Source organism: Homo sapiens, chromosome 10 (assembly GCF_000001405.40).
Source record: "Homo sapiens chromosome 10, GRCh38.p14 Primary Assembly".
Lineage (NCBI taxonomy): Eukaryota > Metazoa > Chordata > Mammalia > Primates > Hominidae > Homo > Homo sapiens.
The window spans coordinates 114,701,751-114,714,548 of record NC_000010.11 but is presented as its reverse complement, the minus strand read 5'-3'; the positions used below and the strand labels follow the sequence as shown (position 1 = coordinate 114,714,548).

The following is a 12,798-nucleotide window of genomic DNA, read 5'->3' as shown; positions in this document are numbered from 1 at the left end:
TGTGGGAATCTGTTGGTAACCTCAGTCACAATGGCATCACATGCCCAGAGTTCCCAAATCTTTCTCAAGTGCGGCTTTCAACTTAAGATGTCAGGATCACTGGCTTCTTTCAGCGCTGCTTGTTGACAGCCTCTTTTTAAATGGCTGTGTTTGGCTGGTGACCCAGGAGTGCCATGGCTGAAAAAGCTCTACACTCCATGTCCATAGACCTGTGCTCTGCTCTCAATTTGATTAGCTGCCTGATCTGCAGCAGGTCACTTAACCTCTGTGAACTTTAGTTTTCTCATCTGTAAAATGAGATGTTCAGTCTGAGGTCCCCAATGGATGATTTCATGACCTAAATGAAGTTAATTAAAAAACCAGCTCCAGCCTTGCGATTAATAAACAGGAAGAGAAGGCATTCAATTCCAGGCTAAACAACATAGAAGGGCCACTTCAGACAGTGTTCTTTTGGGAAGGATGTTCTACAAAGTAAAATATTTGGGAGGACTGATTATTTTCATGGCTGTTTCTCTCTAGGTATTTCTGGGAGATGATTTTTCAAGTCCAGGTTGGTGTGTAGACCCTGTGAATTCAACACCTTCCCAGTACAGAATGCAGTTAACACAGACAGGGTTGGAGTCAGCTTCCCGTTTTTGTCTCACTTGGTTCCCTCTTCGTTGCCATTCAATCTGTTGTGTAAATTTTTTGAGTGAGGAGGCACGATGTTCTCTACAACTGTGATATTTAGCTCTTACTATTGTTTGCATTTAGAGAAAGATGTATGTGAATTCCTCACTGTTTTTATTATTCTGTAACCGAAAGGAGTGAAGTGTTCTTTAAGGCTGCCTCCTGATGGGAAACAATCCTACTGAATGAAATTGGCTGATTGAAATGGGGAGCAGCCCGTAACTCCCTGAAAGTTCTTTAGTGCTACTAAAAAAAGACCAACACAAATGAAAATGTTATGCTTTCTCTAAGTAAATACCAGTGGTAGGAAATGGTAGGTTAGAAGCCTTTTTATTCCCTTCACTGGGTAAGAAAAACACTGAGGGATAGCTTCCGGACTATCCCTGTTTTTGATTTTCCCTTTCTCTTCATCTTGCACTTGGTTTTGATTTCTCTGGGTTGTATAGTTTATTGTTGGATCTTACTACTGTGAACTTAAAAACTATGCTATTTGCCACCCCAGCTCCACTGTCTCTTAGGGACATAGCTCCCCTTAAATGCAAGGATTTTATGAGAAGTGGGATCTTTGCCATTCCATTTATCCTGGTTCCAGAGCAAAGACCTCCCTCCTGCTCTTCTGCTTCCTTGGTAAATAACCCATGTGCTCTAGGAAGAGGACAATACAGTAGCAATTGAATTCCTTCTTCCCAGGCATTTTCTCATACCAGGATAATGTCTCTTTAGCTGCTCCTCTCTTCCTTGTTAAATCATGAACCACGTATCAACATATTCTGCCCAGCTATGTTATAGAAATAACCGGGCAAGAATATGTATATTCTTTCCTTTTTTTAAGAGACAGGGTCTTGCTCTGTCTGTCAGGCTGGAGTATAGTAGTATGATCATAGCTACTGCAACTTTGAACTCCTGGGCTCAAGGGATCCTCCCATCTTGTCCTCCTGAGTAGCTAGGACTACATGTGTGAGCCACTGTGCCTGGCCATGAAGATGCGTGTTTCATTAATGGATGGAGCTCTAAGTCGGGGCAATCCATTGCCCTACGGTTTTATTTGTAATCAATAAGAAGTAATTATAGAAAATCATTGACAGTTTTGCTGAGCAGGTTCAACATTACTTGAAGAAACTCCAAATATTCCCGTGTCATAGATCATTTTGTACCAGAGTTGTTCTATATACCACTGAAAGTTTTCACTAGTAGCCTCAGACTGTCATCTAATTCTTCCATCCACTTAGCAGGCATGTCTCACAATATGGTGACAACGAAGAGGAAAACCAAACCAAGAAAGCCAGCATGGCTTCGGGGAGCTGGGTAAATAGGAGGTGACCTTGGATAAATACAGCTAATGTAACTGAGGGTAGCCCATAATAGGCTGTTGTCTTTTTTGTTCCTAAATTTCTTCTTATGCATTTATTATGTTGGCTTGAAAACCATCTTTTATCTCTATATTGTAATTTTCAGGTCTTATGAAGGAACTACTATGGCTTTTAATTATAGCATTCATGTACTTTTTTTTTTTTTTTTTTTTTTTTCGAGACGGAGTCTCGCTCTGTCACCCAGGCTGGAGTGCAGTGGCGTGATCTCGGCTCATTGCAGCCCCTGCCTCCCGGGTTCAAGTGATTCTCCTGCCTCAGCCTCACGAGTAGCTAGGATTACAGGTGCCCACCACCATGCCTGGCTAATTTTTGTATTTTCAGTAGAGATCAGGTTTCACCATGTTGGCCAGACTGGTCTTGAACTCCAGACCTCAAATGATCCAACCACCTTGGCCTCCCAACGTGCTGGGATTACAGGTGTGAGTCACCGAGCCCAGCCATTAATGTACTTTGTAATGAAAATCTTTTCCCTGTCACCCTGGAGACCCCCAGGCAGGATATGCTGAATATTTTCCACATGCTCCTCCGATTCCATTCTCCACCCTTTGCCCTGCTGTGCTCCTAGAGACTAACCCCGATGGCTACAGCAACGGCTCCCTTGACTTCTGCTTCAAGTTGGGCCCAGTTGGTGCGGGGGGCACTTAGCAGGATATCTGAGGGTGGGAGGAGAGTGTGGTTGGGGTATTTATTCCCTGGACTCCTTCTCTACCAGGTCACTGTTGGTTGTCTGTCTATGAAAGGCCACAGGTCCTGACAAGCCCCCCTCCCTCTCCACTCAGCTACTCACTTCAGGTTCTAGCATCGACTCCACCCCTTGCCTCTTTAGGCCTAGGGGTAAGCAACAGCTCCCCACTGTTGCTGGCTCAGGGTAGTGCATGCCCCTTGTGGGTTTACCTGAACCCTGACCACACCTTTGTAAATATCCCCTTTGTTAAACCTTTTTCAAGTTCTCCAGTTTGATTGTAACATCTGTCACCTGCCAAGACTCTGGCTGATATGCAGGTTTAGCGTGGGGGCTGGCACGCCTGGTGTTAGAGTGGTGTCTGTGACTGTGAGATTTGGGTCTATCATAAGCTTTACAGTTGGCTTCTCAATGGTCTTAACACTGTCACCATGGAAACTGAACATCAAAAGACAAGGGAAGGTTATGGATGAAGAGGCTCTGAGACATACCCAGTACCCTATAAAAGCCATTGTATAGCAACAGGAGGGCTCTTGGTAAGTTGAAGTGGGATGACTGCAGACAAATGGCAAAAGAAAATGATGCAAACCCCTAGTGAAACACAATTTCTAATGGGAGCCTGGAAAGCAGAAGCCATTCCGTTCCTTACGTGTAACAACCAGAAATAAGATGACTTTTGCTACTTTTGTTCTTGTGATTGATAGGGGAAAACATAGATCTTCAGACAGAAACAGAAGACATACAGGGACAACAGATTCTTCAAAAGAGTAGGAATATCCTGAACATTGTCCTAGTCATGGAGTGGCCTTCTTAGGCCCACATATAAACCGGCATGAGCTTATAGGTCATCTTTGAGTGGAACCCATCAGATGTCTTTGGGATTTTGGAATGCGTGAGGGATAAGCAAATGCTCCAAAGCCTTGCCTTTTCTACTGATCGAATGGAACACAAATACTTAGTGTGCAAATATGGTCCCTTGTGTTTCTTTCTGGAAAGCCAAAATATGTGTTCTGTGAAGATTGCTTTATTTTATTTTTATTTATTTTTTGAGACACAGTGGGCTCTGTCGCCCAGGCTGGAGTGCAGTGGCACCATCATGGCTCATTGCAGCCTTGACCTCCTGTGCTCAAGCAATCCTCCCACCCCAGCTCCCAAGTAGCTGGGACTACAAGTGCAAGCCACTAAGCCTGTTTAATTTTTATGTTTTTAGTAGAGATGGGTGATATGGTTTGGCTGCGTTCCCACCCAAATCTCATCTTGAATTGTAGCTCCCATAATTTGCACATGTTGTGGGAGGAACCTGGTGGGAGATAATTTAATATGGGGATGGTTTCTCCCATACTGTTCTCGTGGTAGTGAATAAGTCTCATGAGATCTGATGGTTTTATAAGGGGTTTCCCCTTTTGCTTGTCTCTCATTCTGTCTTGCCTGCCACCATGTAAGATATCCCTTGCTTTTCTGCCATGATTGTGAGGCTTCCCTAGCCCTATCGAACTGTGAGTCAATTAAACCTCTTTCCTTTAAAATTACCCAATTTTGGGTATGTCTTTATTAGCAGTGTGAGAACAGATTAATACAATGGGATTTCACCATGTTGCCGAGGCTGGTAAAGATTGCACTGTAATACAATTCTGATAGTTGCCAAAGCCCTACTGAGTCACTCTAACTCTGGATCTGTTGGGCAGTTGAGCTGTAAAAGAAGTGGATAGCAAGTCCAGTGGAAATCTTGGACCTGAGTAACCATTTACTTCAAAGAATAGGAGATTTTAGTTGCATGACAACTCTTGCCCAAGTAAATATGTGTGTGTACACATGTGTGCACATGGTGGGAGTGGTGGTATATGTAGTTATTATCACAGATTAGGGGAAAGTCAAGGTTTTATGGACCCTGAGGCTTATGTAAGTTTGAGAACCCTGTTTAGAAAAAGCATAAAAAATTATGAACACAAAGTTAAACATCAAAGTGAATATTTAGGAAGGGAAAAAAGTCACAACAAATGACAACATTTCAAAAGTGGTAATTCCTAAATATCATAAAATACAGAAAACTAACAAGCAGCTGATTAATAAACATGTTCTGACGTACCTGTATAATATTTTCCCTGCTACATTTTTGACAGCATATTCCTTGATTGCCTTTTCATATGACAATAACTTTGTAGTTTTTTCTATGTAGAGAAAAGAACCTTTCGCCTTTCCTCTAGCGTAGTTTATTGAAATTTATCTTTTATTTTTGGTAGCTGGTTTACATAAAACAATCTCATACACAAATGTACTCACTGCTACAGTTTTAGATCAATAAATATAGGAATTTTGATCATCTCCATTTCACATAGTGGCCATTAAAAATGTATATGGTGCATTTATAATTATAACTGTTTTAAGCATATTTATGACAGGAGAGAACTTCTGTTTTGACTCTATGTTGATGAAAACAAGATTCTCTGCTCCTAATATTACAGGTCTGATGGCTGGAAGATTTTTCTATAAACCAGCTTTCTGCTTTATACGATTCAAACCTTGTTTCTCTTCCACTACGTAACAAACTCCAGTGTTGGGTGCTAAGGAACGCATTCCCATCTAACTCCAGTGTTGGGTGCTAAGGAACACATTCCTATCACGGCATGGCTTCTGGTCTTGCATTTCCATATCATGACTCTAGATGAGTCACCATAGTAAACAGTAAAAGTTTCTAGAAATCATTTCCACAATTTGCAGTAATAGCTAGCAGTAACTTAACTATGCAGGGAAGTGACCATACAGCCATACATGTGGTCCATGAAACCTAAAACTAAATATAGCCCTAATCAACTTCCCCTTAGCCAAGTTCTTAAAAAATGCTTCTCGAAAAGTACCAATACCAGTGCCATTCCAATGCTGACCTGGAAGAGGGGAGGTCAAAATGGAAAGACATGGTAATCTTAAAAGATGGTGATTAAAATATCACTTTTTGGTACAGATTTTACAAACCTGTGGCCATGTGGATAAAGATGAGGACTTTGAAGGTGGTCCCTGAACATTAAGTATGATCAGCTTGGTGCAAAGTTTATCAAGCATTAAAAAACTGACCCCAGATTTTATCACCTAGAATTGACTTTTAGGATATGTAGATTTTATTAGTCAGTTGGTTATTTTCTCTGCTCTTCTTTCCTCTTTCTTAACTTTGCTTTTATCCCCCAAATATAGATGGAGAATAGCAGCTCCTTTAAAAAGTACTCAGTTCATTTGCTTTCCTTTTGTTGTCTTCTTATTCTCCCCATGTTTTCCCCTGTACCCCCTCTTGCTCCTTTCTTTTGCCAGAAATACACAACTTACTTTAATGGGTGTCATGTCTACCTCCAGTTACCATCCCCATGTAGTTTTGGGGTCCCAGGGAAGGAGGGTCCCTGTCCCTTCCTCCATGCTCCTTGCCAAGCAGGGAGGAGGGAACTGGGACACTCCTTTTTCTGTGGCAGAAGGAGCCTGGAGAGGACTGGAGGAAGCTCTTTCAGGGAAACAGCGGCTGTTTTTCTTAGACCAAGAGATTCATAATGGCCTTCAGAGGGTGTAGCTATGTTGCCATCATAATTACAGCCTTGGAATGGTGCCTGTTGAGGTCGTTTTGTTTCAGAATGTACCAGAAGCTGGATCACTTTGTCTGGAGGTAGCTCGGCATGCATTTCACGCTTGCCATCATTCTCATGGGGGCTCCTTTTTTAAACGCTCTTCTCCTTAGTGACTAAGGTTGGTTTTAACAAGGTTTTCCATCATCAAGACCGTTGAGTTGCACCTGTTTTGTCTGCAGCACCACATGTAAACAAATAAAAGACCTGCCACCAGGACAGGCTTTGAAAAACAGCGGTTAGCATAAAGGCTTAGTACAAAATTGAAAACTGTTGGTAATTAGGTTTTTTGTTGTTGTTGTTGTTTGTTTGTTTGTTTGTTTTGAGACGGAGTTTTGCTCTTGTCGCCCAGGCTAGAGTGCAATGGTGCAATCTCCGCTCACTGCAACCTCTGTCTCCCATGTTCAAGTGATTCTCCTGCCTCAGCCTGCCGAGTAGCTGGGATGACAGGCACCCGCCACCACGCCTGGCTAATTTTTGTATTTTTAGTAGAGACCGTGTTTTCACCATGTTGTCCAGGTTGGTCTCGAACTCCTGGCCTTAAGTGATCCGCCCACCACGGCCTCCCAAAGTGTTGGGATTATAAGTGTGAGCCACCGTGCCCGGCCGGTAATTAGTTTTTTATGACTAGTACTCAGGAAGCCAGGGGCAGCAGGATTGATGGTTTAGCAAATTTGTCATTAAAACAAAACTGGGCCAGGTGTGGTGGCTTACGCCTGTAATCCCAGCACTTTGGGAGGCCAAGGCAGGCATATCACTTGAGGTCAGGAATTCAAGACCAGCCTGGCCAACATGGTGAACTTCGTCTCTACTAAAAATTTTAAAATTAGCTGAGTGTGGTGGTGTGCGCCTGTAGTTCCAGCTACTCGGAAGGCTGAGGCTGGAGAATCGCTTGAACCTGGGAGGCAGAGATTGCAGTGAGCTGAGACTGCACCACTGCACTCCATCTTGGGTGACAGTGCGAGACTCCATCAACAGCAACAACAGCAAAAAACTGAACCCTTACTGGAGAACTTTGGGATATGATGGTCTCTAATTGCACTGTATGTATGGTAGTCACTCATCACATGTGGTCATTGACCACGTTTGAAATGACAGTATTTTTGATATATTAGGTTAAATAAAAATCTTAAAAATCTTAAAATTAATTTTACCTGTTTCTTTTTACCTTTCTAATGTAGTTACTAGACAAATTTAAATTACATTATTTGTATATCACATTCTATTTCCATTGACAGTGCTGGTCTACAATACACCATTCTGTATGCCTGAAAGTGTATTAATGATGCCTTCCAGGCTCCCTGTAAGTTTCGGGAGAGGTTGTTTTCATGTTCTTTAGGACTGGGCAGGGCTGAATTTTTTTTTTTTTAAAGTAGAAGAAAACTGAAACATAATGAATCACAGTAGCAGGCCGTTCTCATTATAAGAAATGAGTATTAGGATTATGAAACCCCTTGGGGGATGTAACAAAAACAACAAAACAAGTTCTCAGCTTTTAGGAAAATATTGCCCTGAAAGGTTATCTCTTGTAACCCTGCTTCCACAGATTATAATTCAGCAGTTGCTGTGGACGTCTTTAGCCTCAGGCTTCATTACATTGGTGTGGAGAGAGAGAAATATGTGGTTCTCTCTCCTCCTTCAGACTCTTAAATCATACCTGGCATCCGCCTCCAGGGAAAAATTTGGTGCTGGGATTTATAGTTGTTTATTGTTTGTGCTTCCAGCATGTGGACTGTGCATTAATTTGTTTCTCAGGGTCAATTTTGGTATCATCATTGCCAGCAGACATTTGTGAGAATAACTCATAGTTTAGGATTTATTTATTGATAAGCGTATTCCACAAAACTTTGACAATCAGCTGATGATGAGCTGGTACTACTCCTGTTAATTCAATATCGTTTATATAACTTGGGTGATAAAATGAACGTCGTGAAACAATGCTACAAAGTCTGTCCTAGGAAGAGGACTTGTGCCTAAATCAGTTGAACTCCCAAAGTTTTCCCAACACTTGGCCTTTGCTATACTGATTTGTATGTAGTTTTCCCTTCTCCTTCTCTAATTATATCTTACTGTTTTTTACACAGCAGATACTCAACAGATTCTTCTTGCATGGTTGTCAGATTCTGAGATTGTCATCAAGAAGGATTGTAGTCTTTCTTGCACTTGAGATTGAGGTTTAAAGATCTGAGTTTGACTTGGTGATTTTTCAAAGGATCCAGTTCTTTAGGGTAAGAATGATGACTGCCTTGTATTAGAGGTTTCAGGATAAACCTGATCTGTTGCCTATTTGTCTTGGGAATTCACCTGGTGAAATGTATTAACAAGTAATTTGATCCATACTCCCACTTCGCTACTCTGTCCTTGCACTGTAGTCTTCTCCACATAAAACAAGATATATCATCAAATTTCAAATTTTTTGTTATGATTTTCTCTATTGAAGTTGTCTTTGTTGATGAAAATATCTTACATAACTTCCTTTGGAAGGTAGGGATACAGTTTCTTAACCTTTTCTGCTTTGGCATTGCACTGAATTTTAGAGAGACTGCTTTAGTTTTTGTGCCTATCATGGTGCCCAGCCTTTCTCACCAAGGGTCTGAGTAGATTTTTGTTGAATGAATGACTTCTTGTATTTTCTGTCAGTCTCCTGTGTTTGCCCATCCCCAAACCATCTCCATTTCCCGTTTCCTTCATCCTTACTCGTTATGTCAAGCCTCTGCAAACTGTGGCTTTCAGAACATCCCCTCCAGATTCCACTGTTTGAGGTCTTCGCCTTGCCCTCTTCATTTGCATCCTGCCCACTGGTGACCTATCCCCTCATGAGCCATGGCAAGATCCCTGTGGGTGCCCATGTTTCACTTTAGGATATGGAATGATGCCCAGCAACTATTATGGGTTTTGTATCCTAACCTCAAGTCTTTATCAATAAACTTTATTTTAGTAACTGCTTTAAAATATGCCTCACACTGGTTGGTTCTAGTCAAGTCAGAATTCTTCGTACTTCTTGTGTTTTAGCATTTAAAAATGACCTATGCTCTTCCCTAGAAGTCTTAAATATCCTAATATCTAAGATAGTTTAAGTACACTTTTACCTGGGGTTGGAGCTTGAACAGATACTTCTCAGGCCCCTCTTGGAGCTGACTCCACACTTGCTTAGTCTAAGAACCAGACCTGATGCTAATGAAAAAAAAAAGAACTTGAACTTCCCTTTCTTAAACCTCACCATGTCAAGGCACAGCCATGGGTTTGGAAATTTGGGGCATGACTACCGAATCCTTTGAAAACGTCTTAAGACTGGTATACATGAAGGGAATTCTAAAGTAGTCTTTCTCCTTAAGCTGATGAACTATTCATGAGTTTGTCTTTGAGAATCAGAATGCGCTGAAGTTGGGCTTGACGCCTTATTAGAGTCAATGATCCACTAAATCTTTATCCTTGGAAACAATCTGTGGATTCTCTTTGTAGCAATACCCTATAACAGAGAGGACTTACACACTCCCATGCATGCCAGAGAAAAGGCCTTGGACCCCACAGCCTCCCAGGAAGGGAGAGACATTTTCTCTGCCCGTTTTCTCTTTCTCCCCACCCCCACCCCCCTTAGAATGACCAAAGGCAGGCTTTGGCTGCGAATCACTTTATAGAAAGTGATATGAAGCATAAATGAGCTATAACCAATTTAAGGAAAGCTTGAAACTGGGCATTGGGAAATCTCTGCCAATATGTAATACTCTTACTAAATTCTGGCTTAGTAGCCGGCCAAAGCAGATTTATAGATAATCCCCATTTATGAAAATGTTCTACTGAGACCACTGTGCAGTTACATTTTAATAGTTTATGTGGTAACAATTTAGGCTCTTGTTATTCCAAGATACCTCACAGATGTAACGCGCGCAATATATATATATATATATATATATATATATATAGAGAGAGAGAGAGAGAGAGAGAGAGAGAGAGCGAGAGAGAGATAGAGTGTCAGAGAGAGAGAGAGAGATTGTTCGAGTCACTAACTAGAAAAGCCTAATCACACAAATGCCAAATAAATTATGTTGGCAGGTGGCCAGCTGAATTTAGACATAGGTTCTCTGTATTATTCAAAAGTCACTCCATGTTGATCTAACCACACCAATGAAAAGAAAATAAAGAAAATAAAAAGTGATTCCTGTTTCATGAGAGTGTAAGTCCAGTATCTTTATTTCTGGCACTCCTGGGCATGTCAGTTTACACTTTGCATATTATTTCCACAAAGAGAATCCACACATTTTTCCAGGGATAAAGATTTAGTGAGTACATTCACTCCTTTACATTGATGCTGAAAAGGAGTGAAGCTCACGTGTAGTGAGAAACGTGAATGTTTCCTGTAAGAAACTGATTCTCCAGTAGAGGGTGGTAGTGTTCTGTGCCCCCAGCCTCTATCTGCGACCCTTCTGGGCTCTGTTCAGATGAATGAACTGATAAACTATTTTAATTGAATATCTTATTCTCACAGTACATAATGTAAACAAAGGCCAAAAAGCATTTATAGAGCATGTAATGTGTGGAGCACAGACCAGGTGCATTGGAGGCGTTGAAGATGACTGAATGCTGACCTCCTGAGGTGTTCCTGAAGGCAGTGCCACTTGTAGTCTTTAAGAGAATGGGCTGGAGAGGTGGGCACCTTGTACTGGGATCCTGGTGCTGCCACTGTAGGTGAAGTGATCTTAGAGGAAGTTATTTCACCTTTTTCAGTCTCTGGTTTCTCATCTGTAAAATGGGTACAATTATGCCTACCATTTGCTTCACCTCTACTAAACTAAAAACAGGGACCTGCTGGAAGGCACACACACAGACAAATACTCCCGTAAGACGAACATGCCATAGTCAAGGTTAGATAAGCTGCTGTGGCAGCAGAGTAGGGTGATGCATTCAGACTAGTAATTAGAAGGGATTCAAGGAAAAAGTAACCTTTGAGATGAGTGTTGAAGGTAACTAAAATTCTTTTGATCAATGGATGGAGAGGATGTCTGTAAGAGTATGAAGGGCATTCCAAACTGAAGGAACATAGACAGTTTCATTTTGTTTATTTATGTCTAAGGCTGTAAAACTCAGAGTATTTTACAAAGGCGATTCCATGTATCAAAACTATTAAGTTTCATTCAGCAAAAATTATATGTAGTGTAGAATTTTCCTATTAAGAGGTTTCCAAATGTCTGAGTTAATTCATCTAGGTACTCCCAAAGTTTATGTATTTAAAAGGGACAGTGGTTTCTAATATACTTTCTATTTGAAAACATCAACAAATAAAATAATTATTTAAATATTTTTCTTTTTAAGAACATTTGAGAGCTTCTAAATGTCTAGCGAGGGAAAGTATATTATGATTGGTGGAGTTGATTTATTATTTATATGAATAATTCTAGCTATGATGTGTTATGTCATTAAAAAATATTGGCTCACGCTTGTAATCCCAGCACTTTGGGAGGCTGAGGAGGGCAGATCACGAGGTCAGGAGATCGAGACTACGGTGAAACCCCGTCTCTACTAAAATACAAAAAATTAGCCGGGCGTGGTGGCGGGCGCCTGTAGTCCCAGCTACTCGGGAGGCTGAGGCAAGAGAATGGCGTGAACCCGGGAGGCGGAGCTTGCAGTGAGCCGAGATCGCGCCACTGCACTCCAGCCTGGGAGACAGAGCGAGACTCCATCTCAAAAAAAAAAAAAAAAAAAGTGTTCTTACTTATATATTGTTCAGTGTATAATCATGATAGACCAGTGATTAATGACAAGAAACAAAAAAACACTGATGTTAAAATACAAATGAATCACTTTTATCGTTGAAATTATTTTAATTCTGCAAATTCTTATTCTCAAGTTGATCTTCTCCAGATTTGTATGTTTCATTCATCTCATTAAAATTCTGTAACTCATTAGAATATCTGTAGTATTTCAAAAGCCAACATTTTTTAAAGATCATGTATTAATGATTGTCTTTTTCGTTATTAGCAATATAGGCTTTCACTTGCAATGTGGTATTTACAGAGAAAATATTTGCAAATAGACAACTGAAATCTTATGTTTTAGCTTACTATTCATAAAGACTTAAAGTAATGAAAATCAACCAGCTGAATTTTTTAAGCCCAAACTATTAGAATTCTAAACATCTTGTCATGTTGCTGTAATGCATAGTTAAAATTCAGTGTACATTTTTTACTTTGCATATGTTTGAATATTTCTATGATAAACAATAAAAAAATAGTATAATGAACCTCAAGTACCCATCGCCCAGCTTCAACACTCTGCCATTCTTATTTTTTCTAAATTTCTACATCCTCTCTTATTTTTAACAGTTGTTTTTAAGGCATAATTGACATACATTGAAATGTAAGAATCTTGGCTATAGAAGTTTTACAGATAGATACACCTATGTCACCCATAGACCTCTATCACAATATTGAATATTTTCATATCTCCAGAAATTCTCTTGTGTTCTTTGTCAGTGAAT

The 12,798-nt window shown here is 40.6% G+C and overlaps 1 protein-coding gene across 21 annotated transcripts in view, besides 1 other annotated feature; it reads left to right on the top strand.

The window, feature by feature from the left end:
• Positions 1-12,798, top strand: part of ABLIM1 (actin binding LIM protein 1) — a 370,264-nt gene that overhangs the window by 86,825 nt on the left and 270,641 nt on the right. The gene's annotated exons all lie outside the window — the stretch shown is intronic.
• Positions 2,286-2,785: an enhancer, noted in NCBI's record as "H3K27ac hESC enhancer chr10:116471523-116472022 (GRCh37/hg19 assembly coordinates)". NCBI's record gives its function as "activates a minimal SCP1, AML or CMV promoter by ChIP-STARR-seq in primed H9 embryonic stem cells {active_cell/tissue: H9 hESC(primed)}" and the evidence as "EXISTENCE:reporter gene assay evidence [ECO:0000049][PMID:30033119]".